Genomic DNA, 15,392 nt, shown 5'->3' with positions numbered 1-15,392 from the left:
GACAAATCTGATATTCTGCAGTAATGCAACTTATTCTATAGTGATACCACTATTTTTTTTTTTGTCACCCAGGCTGGAATGCAGTGGCGCAATCTCAGCTCACTGCAGCCTCCGCCTCCTGGGTTCAAGCAATTCTCATGCCTCAGCCTCCCGAGTAGATGAGATTACAGGCACCCGCCACCACGCCCAGATAATTTTTGTGTTTTTAGTAGAGACAGGGTTTCACCATGTTGGCCAGGCTGGTCTCGAATTCCTGACCTTGTGATCTGCACGCCTCGGCCTCTGAAAGTGCTGGGATTACAGGCATGAACCATAAATATATATATTTATATATATATATATTTATTTAATATATTTATTTATTTATATTATATATTATTATAATATATACCATATAACATTATATTATATATATTATATATTATTAATTATTTATTTAATATATTTAATATTATATATATATATATATATATTTTAGAGTCTCACTCTGTTGCCCAGGCTGGAGTGCAATGGTGCGATTTTAGCTCACTGCAACCTCTACCTCCAAGGTTCAAGCAATTCTCGTGCCTCAGCCTCCTGAATAGCTGGGATTAAATGTGTGTGCCACCATGTCTGGCTATTTTTGTATTTTTAGTAGAGACAGGGTTTCACCATGTTGGCCAGGCTGTTCTCGAACTCCTGACCTCAAGTGATCCACCTGCCTCGGCCTCCCAAAGTGCTGGAGTTACAGGCATAAGCCACTGCGCCCAGCCTGAAAATTTTTTCTAAGTTTATTGTTTATCTTAAAATTTAGATTATAGTGATTTTTATTTAGACATTTTAATTCTTTATGTACTTACATCTTCCTTTTTCTTTCTCTCTCTTTTTTTTTTTTTTTTTTTTGAGATGGAGTTCTTGCTCAGTCACCCAGGCTAGAGTGCAGTAGTGAGATCTTGGCTTACTGCAACCTCCGCCTCCCGGGTCCAAGCAATTCTTCTGCCTCAGCCTTCCAAGTAGTAGCTGGAATTATGGGTGGGCACCAGCACACCCGGCTAATTTTTGTATTTTTAGTAGAGATGGGGTTTCACCATGTTGGGGAGGCTGGTCTTGAACTCTTGGCCTCAAGAGATCTGCCCGCTTTGGCCTCCCAAAGTTTTGTGATTACAGGCATGAGCCACCAAACTTAGTACATCTTCCCTTTTTCCTTTTGTGGTTTTTGCCTTTAGTATTCAACATGTATTCTTACAATATATTTATATAACTTAAAAACAAAATTTTCCTTTGCTTTTTCATTCACTTTTTTTCTGATTCTGGATGATGAGGCCATTCAACAGGGTACTGTGTGCTTTGGTTACTTCAGTGTTTGTAACATACACAGTAAGTCCTCACATTATGTAACATACACAGTAAGTCCTCACTTAATGGCATCAACGGTTCTTGGAAACTCTGACTGAGTGAAATGATGCTAAATGAAACCAGTTTTATCATAGGCTACTTGATATGAAGAGTTAAGTTTCTACTGCATAATTATGTTCACAAAAACATCACTAAACTGCTAATTAAAGACCAGAACACTTCTAATATTAAATATTGAAATAAACGTGAGTTATGCATACATTTAAGAAAGATGGATAAAAACGAGTAAGCTAATTCTTTGCCCAATTTTACAGTTCAGGCTCTCTGGTGGCCGGAGCCTGTCCTGGTGGCTCAGGCACCCAGTAGGAACCAGTCTTCCACAGGACACCATTCCGTCACAGGATGCACCCAAACACACCCACACTCAGGCTGGGACAATGTAGATAATGCCAGTTCATCTAACGTGCACATCTTTGGGATCTGGGAGGAAACTGGAGTACCTGGAGAAGACTCACACAGACATGGAGAGAATGTGCAGACTTCACACAGACAGTGGTGCTAGTGGGAATCAGTTTTTTTTCTTGTCAGCATTGTAATGAAATAACATTAGTTGAAGAGATGCTGTTCAAATTTTAACTTTGTAGTAAAATAGTATTTATCAATAATTTGTAAATTCCATTTTCAGGTACTCTTCTCTTCAACCTGAATTACAAAATCTGAAATTTATTCCACTGAAAAATATATGGCTGTATGTGGAAATGCTAACTATGAGGAAATAATAAAAAATAATCTAAATATTAACACAAACATATTAAAATAATGTACTCAACATTATAATGTTGCAATTAAAATATAAAGTATTAGTAACTGTAGTATTGTTAGTAGATAAATGCCTCACTTGTTATACCTGCTTATGAGCAATAATCATGGAAGTGATTTGTGTTTGTTTTTTTTTTAGTCAACTTAAAATGTGGAAATTCAACTATGTTTGCTTTGCCAGCTAGCACCTGTTAGAATAATTTAGGAGTTTTGGTGGCAGGCCTATAGTCTCAGATGCTGAGAGGCTGAGGTGGGAGGAGCCCAGGAGTTTGAGTCCAGGAGTTTGAGTCCAGCCTGGCAACATAGCAAGACCCTGTCTCAGAAAAAAAAAAAAGAAGAACAATGCAGGAATGCTTTCAGAACTGGCATTTCCAGGCAGTGTGGACTTTCCCCCAATGTCTGCTTGGTTTTAGGTCTTTCCTGTAATTGGTCAGCTTCCAACAGTAGTTTGCAAATTAGCACTCTGCAACAGGGCTGATTTTGCCGTTACTGAAGTTAAACTGATTTAGCAATTGCTGTAATTCTTATATTGGAATAAAGTTTGTTGTAAAATTTTTCACATGGCATAGAAGTGTAAGACAATTAGAATCTTACATTCCTCCTCTTAGTTCCATTCCCAAGATGTAACCAGTTTTAATATTATGGTGTGTGCCTTTCCAAGGCATTTTCTATGCTTATGCAATATTTATGTATATGAAATTAATTAATGGTATAAATGGTTTAGCAAGGATTTTTTCGTGGCTGGCAAATGAGTCAGTATTTTGTGACTGGAAAACCCTGTGCTGCTGAACTTGTTTACTGAAAAATATTTGTGAAAGAAAATGTCTGAAAAATGCATTACAAAGGCCAAAGTAATAAACCAAAAGGGTGATTTTAGTAAAGAATACATAACAACTGTCGTGTGAGAAATAGCACTGAGCTTCTGTGTGTTATTTGTCATTCAAGGGTGCAACTGGAAACTGACTTGAAGATTGAGAAGGAATGGAGGCAGACTTTGCAGGAAGATCTTCAAAAGGAGAAAGATGCCTTATCTCATCTTAGAAATGAGACTCAACAAATCATTAGTCTTAAAAAAGTAAATAGTGGTAAAACTTTAAAAATTCTGTCTTGACAAATGTTAACTTATTTAAAAAGATAAATCATAATTTACATTATACCAAGGAAATGGATATACTAGTCATCTTAAAAAATATCAGTAAAGAGATTAAGTAAATGGAAAATAGTTGATACAGCAGCTAGGAAAGAGCTTTGGACACAATTTGTTTCTTTTAAAAAGCTAAAGGATGTTTGTTTCTAATTAATGGTATATGTACAATCTGGAGTTTCTTGTTTCTTTCTTTTAAATTTCATTTTCTGTCTTTTATTGTTCTGAAGGAGTTCCTTAACCTCCAGGATGAAAATCAGCAGTTGAAAAAAATATATCATGAACAAGAGCAAGCTCTTCAAGAACTCGGCAACAAGCTTAGCGAGTAATTTCTTTTTTCCTTCAACTAAGTAGTCATTATTGACTTTTATAAAAGGTATAAGTGTGCCAAATCTATTAGGCAGAAGAGTTTAAATATAGGAAAGATACGAACTAGGCCGGGCGCGGTGGTTCACGCCTGTAATCCCCGCACTTTGTAATTCCTGGCCGAGGCGGGTGGATCATGAAGTCAGGAGGTCAAGACCAGACTGGCTAATATGGTGAAACCCTGTCTTTACTAAAAATGCAAAAATTAGCTGCTTGTGGTGGCGTGTGCCTGTAATCCCAGCTACTCGGGAGGCTGAGGCATGAGAATCGCTTGAACCCAGGAGGTGGAGTTTGCAGTGAGCTGACTCCAGCCTGGCGACAAAGCAAGACTCTGTCTCAGAAGAAAAGGAGAAAGATACAAACTATTAAACAAAACAAAAACTCTAAAGATTAAAAAATGAGACTAGACTAGAGAGATTTTATTAAAAGTTTTATTCAATTTAGTAGACTTAGCTTTGAATATTTCCCAGTAGATGAAAGCTAACACTCTTGTTCAATTTATTCAATGTCAGAGAATTCAGAAGTTATTAATATATTTTTCTCAGAAAAACAGAAGCTGAATTTTCAAAATATCCGGGGAGCTGTCTTTGAGATTGTTTTGAGAAGAAGCCAGCATCACGAGAAGTGGAGGTGGTTTCATGCCTCCTGGAGACAGGGCTTAACTTCATACAGTTTGGTTTTGTTGCAGTAAAATGTCACTGGGATCCTGTAAAGACAAGAAGGAGAAATGGTGTTTTGCCTTTCTTTCATTTCCTTTTTTTTTTTTCAAAGACAGGGTCTCGCCTAGGCAGGATGTAGTGGTACAATCATAACTCACTGCAGCCTTGACCTCCTGGGCTCAAGCAACCCTTTCACCTCAGCTTACCAAGTAGCTGAGACTACAGGCAGGCACCATCATGCCCTACTAATTTTTTATTGTTTATAGAGATGGGGTCTTGCATGTTGCCCAGGCTGGTCTCAAACTCCTGACCTCAAGCAGTCCTCCCACCTGAGCCTCCCAAAATGCTGGGATCACAGGCGTGAGTCACTGTGCCCAGCCACATTTTCCTTTTGTTCCCCATAGTCTGTGTTTTGGGGTAGCAGCTTTGCGCCTGATTGAACATATTGCCAGATATTTGGAATAAGCTCAAGAGGGTTTAATTTAGTATTGAATGTACCACTGCCACATTTAAAATATATAGTCGTTTTAAATATTTTTTGTTTATTTTTATTTGTTTTGAGACAAGGTCTTGCTCTCAAGTTGCCCAGGCTGGAGAACAGTGACGCAGGCACAGCTCATTGCATCCTTGATCTCTCAGGCTCACGCTATTCTCTCACCTCAAGCCTCCGGAGTAGCTGGGACCACAGACGCACACCACCATACCTGGCTAATTTTTTTTTATTTTTTGTGGAGTTAGGATCTTGGTATGTTGTCCAGGCTGGTCTTGAACTCCTGGGCTCAGGACATCATCCTGCCTCAGCCTCCCAAAGTGCTGAGATTACAGGTGTGAGCTACTGCACCCAGCCCACTTTTTTAAGTACAGAAAAGTAAAAATAAGAAAGCTACAATGTCTCATAATCTCTTCACCTGTATAAATCTCTTTGATGTTTTATGTGATTAGAACATTCAAATAGCACAAAAAGGTTTAAGATAAAAAAGCAAGTACTTCCCTTCTCCCAAGTATTAATCTGCAAAGTTTAACTAACCTCAAACAATTCTATGTGTAAACATCTTGTCATTTATTTAGATAGAATTAGTTATATGGACATATGTCATTTGTATATATTCAATTAAGTAGAAATCATACTAGAATGGAGACTTAGTTGCTAAAGGTGGGATTCCATTAAGAGATAATGCAACCAATTTCCAAGGGCATAAGAAGGAGTAATTCACTAGAACCAGAAAAGGAAATATTAGATCTCAAAAAGATAAAGCTGTTTTTGTCTTTACAGCTCTTCAAAGAACAATCTGCATTGTGGTTCTGATAAGCAAGATTTCAATTCCAATCTGGCATCCATTTATTGAGCACTTTGAGCCAGACCCTGTGCTAAGTGCTTATTACCTTATTTTCCATTTATTTCTTGACAGACACTTATTGAGCTTCTACTATGTGCCAGGCACTATACTAAGTGCTAGAGACTCAACAGTGAGCAATCCTCACAATATAAAATAAGCATGTTTGCGTTTACTAAGATCATAATGGTTTAATATTAAAACAGTGGAATAGTAAAGTAAGGAATATGTGTTACTTTTCACCCATTCCCCAACTAATACTTTTTTTTTCTCTTTGAGAGGAAGTTTCGCTCTTGTTGCCCAGGCTGGAGTGCAGTGGTGCTATCTCAGCTCACTGCAACCTCTGCCTCCTGGGTTCTTTTCAAGCGATTCTTCTGCCCCAGCCTCCTGAGTAGCTGGGATTACTGGCGCCCACCACCACACCTGGCTAATTTTTAGTAGAGACAGCGTTTTACCATGTTGGCCAGTCTAGTCTTGAACTCCTGACCTCAGGTGATCTGCCTGCCTTGGCCTCCAAAGTGCTGGGATTACAGTCATGAGCCACCACGCCCGGCCCCTCACTTCATACTTAATAGAGACTTTATAGTTGAATTACAGGCATGATCATATAAATGTCTAGATGTTGCCTTTATTTATTTATTTATTTATTTATTTATTTGAGACGGGGTCTCACTCTGTCACCCAGGCTGGAGTGCAGTGGTGTGATCTTGGCTCACTGCAACCTCCACTTACTGGGTTTGAAAATTGAAATATTTGCTCTTATCGGCTTATTATTGAAAGATGATGATGATTATTATTATCGTTTTTTGAGATGGAGTCTCGCTCTGTCGCCCAGGCTGGAGTGCAGTGGCAGTATCTCAGCTCACTGCAAGCTCTGCCTGCCGGGTTCACGTCCTTCTCCTGCCTCAGCCTCCTGAGTAGCTGGGACTACAGGTGCCCGCCACCATGCCTGGCTAATTTTTTTTTGTATTTTGGTAGTAGAGATGGGGTTTCATCATTTTAGTCAGGATGGTTTCGATCTCCTGACCTCGTGATCTGCCCGCCTCGGCCTCCCAAAGTGCTGGGATTACAGGCGTGAGCCACCGCACCTGGCCTGAAAGATTATTTTTTTAAAAAAATTAAATAGAGACAGAGTCTCACTGTGTTGCCCCAGGCTGGTCTCAAACTCCTGGCCTCAAGGAGTCCTCTTGCTTCGGCTTCCAAAAATATTGACATTACAGGTGTGAGCCACTACATCCAGCTTGAAGGATTCTTTTTTAAATTTTTATTTATATATTTTATATGGAGGCGGGGTCTCACTATGTTGCCCAGGCTGGTCTCAAACTCCTGGGCTCAAATGATGCTCCCACCTCCTCAGCCTCACAAAGTGTTGGGATTACAGGCTTGAGCCACCACACCTGGCCTGAAGAATTCTTATAAAAAGATAGATTTGGGCCAGGTGCTGTGGCTACGCCTGCAATCCCAGCACTTTGGAAGCTGAGGCGGGCGGATCACTTGAGGTCAGGAGTTCGAGGCCAGCCTGGCCAACGTGGTGAAACCCCATCTCTACTAAAAATACAAAAATTAGCCGGGTGTGGTGGCATGTGCCTGTAGTCCCAGCTACTTCGGAGGCTGAGACAGGAGAATATGTATACGTGTATACATATATGTATATATTTCCTTTCAGGCTTATTTTCATTTCCTTAATTATTAGACAGTCTAATTATAATTTACTCAGAAGAATAGTCAGTGTTTAAAGCCTTCCAAATCTATCTTTTTTTTTTTTTGAGACGGAGTTGTTCTGTTGCTTAGGCTGGACTGCAGTGGTGCAATCTCGGCTCACTGCAACCTCCACCTCCCAGGTTCAAGCAATTCTGCTGTCTCAGCCTCCCGAGTAGCTGGTACTACTACTATATATATTTTTATATATATAGTAGCACTACTACTATGTATATTTTTATATATATATAGTAGCACTACTACTATGTATATTTATATATAGTAGTACTACTATATATATTTTTATATATAGTAGCATTATATATATAAATATACTACTATGTATATTTATATATATAGTAGTACTACTATATATATTTTTATATATAGTAGCATTACTACTATGTATATTTATATATACGTATATATACACGCAATACACACATATTTATATATGTATATATACGTATATATACACACATATATACGTATATGTATACATATGTATATTTTCCTTTTAGGCTTATTTTATATATGTATATATACGTATATATGTATATATACAAAATCTCCTGCCTCAGCCTCCTGAATAGCTGGGATTACAGGCGTGTGCCACCACATCTGGCTAATTTTGTATTTTTAGTAGAGGTGGGATTTCACCATGTTGATCAGGCTAGTCTCGAACTCCTGACCTCAAGTGATCCACCCACCTTGGCCTCCCAAAGGGTTGGGATTACAGGCATGAGCCACTGTGCCTGGCTGAGAAGGTATTCTTGTACATTATGGTTATTGGGATTGTAACCGATGCTCCTTTCTTTAGGACACTTAGGCAATATGTATCATAGAGAGGCCGTCTTTTTTGAGTCCTTATTTATGAATAAGAGCATTTAAATCAAAAATCTATCAATACCAGTAAATTATCATAAAGTATTTCCTAGGCCGGGCATAAGACCGAGTGTTGCTCTGTCGCCCAGGCTGGAGTGCAGTGGCGTGATCTTGGCTCACTGCAACATCTGCCTCCTGGGTTCAAGCGATTCTCCTGCCTCAGCCTCCAGAGTAGCTGGAATTACACGTGTGTGCCATCACTCCCGGCTAATTTTTGTATTTTTAGTAGAGACAGGGTTTCACCATGTTGGCTAGGCTGGTCTCGAACTCCTGACCTCAGGTTATCCGTCTGCCTTGGCCTCCCAAAGTGCTGGAATTACAGGTGTGAGCCACTGTGCCCAGCCAAGAAAATATTTTCTGTGGTGAATATCATTAAGCCACTTTAATTCCATATTCAGTTTTTCTGTATAGCATAATTAAATCATCACTGTTGTGGCCACTATTCCCAAGAGTCAGTTTTCCTGAGGCACATTTTGTAGATGTGAATTTAGCCAAGAAAATGTGATGATTATGTCAGTATTTTTACAGTGTGTAGTTTTACATTGATTATTTCCACCGTAAGAGTCAATATGAGGTAGGTGAAAGACTCACACTTTGTTTTTATGTCTTGGAATGAAGAGCATTTTATAGGGCAAAGCAGATTTTTAATGTCCTGCTTCAGTAGTAGAGGCTTTAGTATCTGATATATCATTTGATTCAGGAATTTCATTTGTAAGAGAATTAATACTAATGTTTTAGTCATTCCAATTTTTTTGTTGTTGTTTGTTTGTTTGTTTGTTTTTTGGAGATAAGAGTCTCGCTCTGTTGCTCAAGCTGGAAGGCAGTGGTGCAATCTTGGCTCATTGCAACCTATGCCTTCCAGGTTCAAGCGATTTTCCTGCCTCAGACACCTGAGTAGCTGGGACTACAGGTGCATACCACCATGCCTGGCTAATTTTTGTATTTTTGATAGAGATGAGGTTTCACCATGTTGGCCAGGCTGGTCTGGAACTCCTGACCTCAAGTGATCTCCCCACCTCAGCCTCCCAAAGTGCTGCGATTACAGGCAGGAACCACCATGCCTGAACTAGTCATTGTAATTTTAATAAACAACTTTTGTGGCGAAAAATTTGAAACAAGTTGAAAGATCAACAGTAGATAATTATATATACTATTTTATATTCTTTTTCATGGTATATACCAAGTGACCATTTACTATAATGATAATGGCAGATACTCGGTAACAAGCCAGTAGCTGCAAGCTGTTCAGGATATATTGTGAAAATAGCTGGTTATGGAAAACTATGTAGATAATTATTCCATTTAAAATACACAGATATATAGAGAAGATTACCTCTGGGTAATGGGATCACAGGTAATTAAATATTGTTTTTTATAATTTGCATTTTCATTAACACATTTTCTTTTTTAAAGAAAAAAAAATTTAAATTATACCAACTGGGGCTTGGCACGGTGACTCACGTGTGTAATCCTAGCACTTTGGGAGGCCGAGGCGGCGGGTGGATCACCTGAGGTCAGGAGTTTGAGACCAGCTTGGCCAACATGGAAAAACCCCGTCTCTACTAAAAATACAAAAATTAGCTGGGTGTGGTGACAACTGCCTATAATCCCAGCTATTCGGGAGGCTGAGGCAGGAGAATCGCTTGAACCTTGGGGGCGGAGGTTGCAGTGAGTCGAGATCATGCCACTGCATTCCAGCCTGAGTGAAAGAGCAAAACTCCATCTAAAAAAAAAAAAAACAAAGTTATACCACTTGGTAGCAAATTGATCCCAACATATGTATTTTCTTTTTTCTTTTTCTTGTTTTTTGAGATGGAGTCTTGCTCTGTCACCCAGGAGTGCAGTGGCACGATCTCGGCTCAGTGCAATCTCTGCTTCCCCGGTTCAAGTGATTCTCCCTGCCTCAGCCTCCTGAGTAGCTGGGATCACAGGCGCCCCTCACCACGCCCAGCTAATTTTTTTGGTATTTTTAGTAGAGATGGGGTTTCACCATGTTGGCCAGGCTGGTCTTGAACTCCTTCCTGACCTCAGGCGGTCTGCTCACCTCTGTCTCCCAAAGTGCTGGCATTACAGGCATGAGAGACCGCATCTGGCCCAACATACATATTTTCAAAAGGTGGAAAATGCCAGGCTTGGTGGCTCACACCTGTAGTCCCAGCACTTTGGGAGGCCAAGACAGGTGGATCACTTGAAGTCAGGAGTTCGAGACCAGCCTGGCCAACGTGGTGAAACCCGGTCTCTACTAAAAATACAAAAATTAGCCTGGGAGTTATTGCGGGTGCCTCTAATCCCATCTACTCAAGAAACTGAGGCAGGAGAATCACTTGAACCTACGAGGCAGAGGTTGCAGTGAGTTGAGATCGTGCCACTGCACTGCAGCCTGGGTAACAGAACGAGACTCCATCAAAAAAGTGGGAAAGTATTTGCAGCTGTGTCTTCCACAGTATTTTCTTTTTTGTTGCTGTTTTTGAGACGGCATCTCGCTGTCACCCAGGCTGGAGTGCAGTGGTGTGATCTTGGTTCACTGAAACCTCTGCCTCCGGGGTTCAAGTGATTCTCCTGCCTCACCTTCCCGAGTAGCTGGGAATACAGGCGTGCACCACTATTTCCAGCTAATTTTTGTATTTTTAGTAGAGATGGGGTTTCACTGTATATTGACCAGGCTGGTCTCGAACTCCTGACCTCAGATGATTCACCCGCCTTGGCCCCCAAAAGTGCTGGGATTACAGGTGTGAGCCACCGCGCCTGGCTCACAGTATTTTCTTCCTTAGCACTTCTGTATTTGCTAGAGAAATAATGTGAATAATGGTTAGCATGTGCCCTTTGGGGTCACAGACAAGGGTTTGAATCCTAGCTCCCCCAGTTGGAGCTCTCTGACTTCTTACAAGTGACTAAACTTCATCAGTCATTTCTTCATCTTTAAAATAGGTTTTTGTGTAGATTACATGAGATTATGCATGCAAAGGCACATAGTAAACCTACAATAAATGATAGCTATAAATATTGTCATGATCACATGAAAATGCCAATATTTCTTTTTTTTCTTTTTTTTTTTTTTTGAGATGGAGTCTCACTCTGTCACCCAGGCTGGAGTGCAGTGGCGTGATCTTGGCTCACTGCAAGCTCCGCCTCCCGGGTTCACGCCATTCTCCTGCCTCAGCCTCCCGAGTAGCTGGGACTACAGGCGCCCGCCACCATGCCTGGCTAATTTTTTGTATTTTTAGTAGAGACGGGGTTTCACCATGTTAGCCAGGATGGTCTCGATCTCCTGACCTCGTGATCCGCGGGCCTCGGCCTCCCAAAGTGCTGGGATTACAGGCATGAGCCACCGCACCCAGCCGAAAATGCCAATATTTCTTAAAAAGCAAGTTTTAAATCTAAAATATTTTTGCTTTAGGACATTTAGAAAATATAGGAAAATATGAAATATTCCACTAGCCAGAGAAGGCCATAAAAATCATATACTATACATAATTTTATATCCTATGAAATACCAATACCTACTGAAATACTAAGTGTTCTATATTTAAATATGTGTACTGAAATTTGGACCTATTTGTAATCTTTTTAGATCAAAACTTAAAATTGAAGACATAAAAGAAGCCAACAAAGCATTGCAGGTGAGTAGAACGTTTTCCTAAAGTGGGAAGGTATGTGAAAGTCTCCAATGGAAGGTAATGCCCTGTGTGAATCTAATGTATTATTAACCCCAGGATATATAGAGGCCGAAGCACTGAATGAGGAGCTTGGATGCTGGGGGTTCAGCTCTTCCCTGTACCCCTAGAGTCACATTATTAATAACCTTCCTTTAGAAACTGACCTTAGAGGCCGGGCGCAGTGGCTCACGCCCGTAATCCGAGCTCTTTGGGAGGCCGAGGCAGGTGGGTCATTTGAGGTCAGGAGTTTGAAACCAGCCTGGCCAACATGGTGAAATCCCATCTCTACTAAAAATACAAACATTTGTTGAGTGTGGTAGTGGGTGCCTGTAATCCCAGCCACTCAGGAGGCTGAGGCAGGAGAATTGCTTGAGCCCGGAAGGTGGAGGTTGCAATGAGCAGAGATCATGCCCTTGCACTCCATCCTGGGCAACAGAGCGAGACTCTTTCTCAAAAAAAAAAAAAAAGAAACTGACCTTAGAAATAATTTTGTTTACTTCCCTACAAAGTATGGCATGATAGAGTGAAATTGCCTATGAACTTGAGAATCTTGAGTTCCTATGCCAGTCTATTACTTACTAGTTCTTTTACTTTCAGCAAGTCATGTATCCTCATTGAGCCTCAGCTTCCTTCTCTGAAATAGGCTGATGATTCTGCGTAGGGTTGCTCTGAATATTGAGTAGGTTAATACATGTGTGTGAAAGTGGTTGGAACACTTTACCAGTATGGTTGTGAATGTGTCTGAATCCTTGCTACAACATAGAAGAAAGGACAGTGTCTGTGTGATCACTTCAGTGATAGGTGGCTTCCTACCCAACAACTTCATTTTTTAAAATCAAAAAGTGTTACATGATACTGGGTGTGGTGGTTCATAGCACTTTGGGAGGCCAAGGCAGGAGGATTGCTTGAGGCCAGGAGTTCAAGACCAGCCTGGGTAAAATAGACCTTATTTCTACTAAAAAATAAGAAAAAATTAGCCAGGTGTGGTGGTGCAGGTCTATAGTCTCAGCTACTTGGGAGGCTGAGGTGGGAGGATTGCTTGAGCCTGGGAGGTCGAGGCTGCAGGGAGCCTTGATCATGCTACTTACTGCACGCCAGCCTGGGTGACAAAAAAGTGTTACATGAAAATCATTTTTAAAAAATTATACTAAGAAGATTTAACTCCAAATAATATTATTAATAATAATGATGATGATGGTAGCAGTCTCTTGTTCTTCACTCCCTTGCCCTTTATCTGCCCTAGCTCCTGCCACCCAAAGGGAGCTACTTCCAGTTTTTTAGCTGTTTCTTCTGGCATTTATCTCTGTATGTCTAACTAATGTTCAGTATGTACTATTTGCTCTTGATTCAGCAGTTTTAGACTTATATATTAACGTCATCATATGGTGGATGAAGAGTTTTGCTCACTCTCATTTTGGTCTTTCTGGTCTCCCAGTATAATCAAGTAAGGTTTTTTGTGGCATTCATTTACTTTATATATATATTTTTTATTTATGTTATTTTATTTATTATTTTTTTGAGATGGGGTCTTGCTGTGTTGCCCAGGCTGGAGTACAGTGGCACAATCATAGTTCACTGCAGTCTCAAACTCCTGGGCTCAAGCTGTCCTCTTGCCTCAGCCTCCTGAGTAGCTGGGACCACAGGTGCGTGCCACCTTGCCTGGCTAATTTTTAAATTTTTTGTAGAGACAGTATCTGCTGTGTTGTCTAGAGTGGTCTTGAACACCTGTCCTCGGGCAGTCCTCCAGTCTTGGCCTCCTAAAGTGCTGGGATTACAAGCATGAGCCCCCAAAACCCGTCTTACTCTGTATTTTTTTTTTTGAGACGGAGTCTTGCTTCTTCACCCAGGCTGGAGTGCAATGGCATGATCTCGGCTCACTGCAACCTCTGCCTCCCTGGTTCAGTGATTCTCCTGCCTCAGGCTCCCCAGTAGCTGAAATTACAGGCACCTGCCCCCACGCCTAGCTCATTTTTTTTTTTTTTTTTCGAGACAGGGTCTCGCTCTGTTACCCAGGCTGGAGTGCAGTGGCGCGATCTCGGCTCATTGCAACCTCCGCCTCCCGGCTTCAAGAGATTCTCCTGCTTCAGCCTCCCGAGTAGCTGGGACTACAGGTGTGTGCTACCACACCCGGGTAATTTTTATAGTTTTAGTAGAGATGGTTTCGCCATGTTGGCCAGGCTGGTCTCAAACTCCTGACCTCAGGTGATGCACCTGCCTCGGCCTCCCAAAGTGCTGGGCTTACAGGTGTGAGCCACTGCATCTAGCCCCTATTCTGAATTTTTTATTATGATTATTTGAATGTTGTTCCTTGCTGAGCCAGGTACTGTGATTATATTTTCTTACTTGAACTACTTTATCCTTCCTCTGGAGTTAATAATTGCCCCCTCTTTTTTTTTTGAGATGGAGTCTCCCTCTGTTGCCCAGGCTGAAGTGTAGTGGCACGATCTTGACTCACTGCAACCTCCACCTCCCGGGTTCAAGTGATCCTCCTGCCTCAGCCTCCCAAGTAGCTGAGATTACAGGCATGTGCCACCTAATTTTTATATTTTTAGTAGAGATGGGGTTTCACCATATTGACTAGGCTTGTCTCGAACTCCTGACTTTGTGATCTGCCCACCTTGGCCTCCCAAAGTGCTGGGATTACAGGTGTGAGCCACCGTGCCCAGCCACCCCTCTCTTTTTAAAAACAAATTAGTTGTATAACATTTGAGTTTTCTCATACCTTGAAACACCTCTATTTAAAAAAGCTTCTTGATAAAGTTTTCCACATGGTAAAATATATCAGGTACTTGGTTACGTCATTATTTTTTCTTTGACGTCTTGCCTCCAACTTCAAGAGTTCTCTGCTCTCCTGCTCATGTTTGTTCTGGTCCTGATGTTTCCCTTTGCTGGTATTCTCAGAATTTCCTTTACCTTCCCCCTTTGTGGGAGCTCCTGTTGCCTGAATTCCCTAACTTCTCTCTTTGTATACTCCCTTATTTTCGGCAACACATCTTTCAGTAGCTTCCTGAAAATGGTGAATGAAGATAGAGGTTGTAAGAATTTACACATCTGGAGACTAGGCATGGTAGCTCATACCTGTAACCCCAGTGCTTTAAGAGGCTGTGGTGGGAGAATTGCTTGAGGCCAGGAGTTTGAGACCAGCCTGGGTAGTATAGCAAGCCCTTGTCTCTACCAAAATTTGAAAAAAGAAAGAAAAGAATTTGCGTATCTGAATATACCTTTGTTTTATCCTCACACTTTTTTTCTTTTTTTTTTTTTTGAGACAGTCTTGCTCTGACACCAAGGCTGGAGTACAATGGCATGATCTCGGCTCACTGCAACCTCCCTCTCCTGGGTTCAAGCAATTCTCCTGCCTCAGCCTCCCAAGTAGCTGGGATTACAGGCACCCACCACCATGCCCAGCTAATTTTTGTATATTTAGTAGAGATAGGGTTTCACCATGTTAGCAAAGCTGGTCTCGAACTCCTGACCTCAGGTGATCTGCCCATCTCAG

General features: G+C 41.1%; 1 protein-coding gene across 14 annotated transcripts in view, besides 2 other annotated features; it reads left to right on the top strand.

The window, feature by feature from the left end:
- The window catches only part of RUFY2 (RUN and FYVE domain containing 2), a 66,166-nt gene that overhangs the window by 40,065 nt on the left and 10,709 nt on the right, over nt 1–15,392 (top strand). For all 14 annotated transcript variants that reach the window (NR_103476.2, NR_103475.2, XM_047425448.1 and 11 more), the window contains 3 exons: nt 3,100–3,229; nt 3,529–3,623; nt 11,812–11,860. Coding sequence is in view for 12 of the 14 variants with exons in the window: in XM_047425448.1 (XP_047281404.1) it covers nt 3,100–3,229; nt 3,529–3,623; nt 11,812–11,860 (274 nt within the window). In the remaining 2 variants the exon portion in view is untranslated. The remainder of the gene's footprint in view (nt 1–3,099; nt 3,230–3,528; nt 3,624–11,811; nt 11,861–15,392) is intronic.
- Nucleotides 2,637–2,806: an enhancer, noted in NCBI's record as "experimental_16583 CRE fragment used in MPRA reporter constructs". NCBI's record gives its function as "activates a minimal promoter by MPRAs in K562 erythroleukemia cells, with activity observed for both the introgressed and non-introgressed 10:70124249 variant alleles {active_cell/tissue: K562}" and the evidence as "EXISTENCE:reporter gene assay evidence [ECO:0000049][PMID:34662402]".
- Nucleotides 12,435–12,635: a silencer, noted in NCBI's record as "peak992 fragment used in MPRA reporter construct". NCBI's record gives its function as "represses an SCP1 promoter by STARR-seq MPRAs in K562 erythroleukemia cells {active_cell/tissue: K562}" and the evidence as "EXISTENCE:reporter gene assay evidence [ECO:0000049][PMID:32103011]".

This window comes from Homo sapiens, chromosome 10, assembly GCF_000001405.40.
Source record: "Homo sapiens chromosome 10, GRCh38.p14 Primary Assembly".
In the NCBI taxonomy this organism is placed as follows: Eukaryota; Metazoa; Chordata; class Mammalia; order Primates; family Hominidae; genus Homo; species Homo sapiens.
The sequence above is the reverse complement of the archived record's forward strand: the minus strand, read 5'-3'. Positions and strand labels throughout refer to the sequence as shown.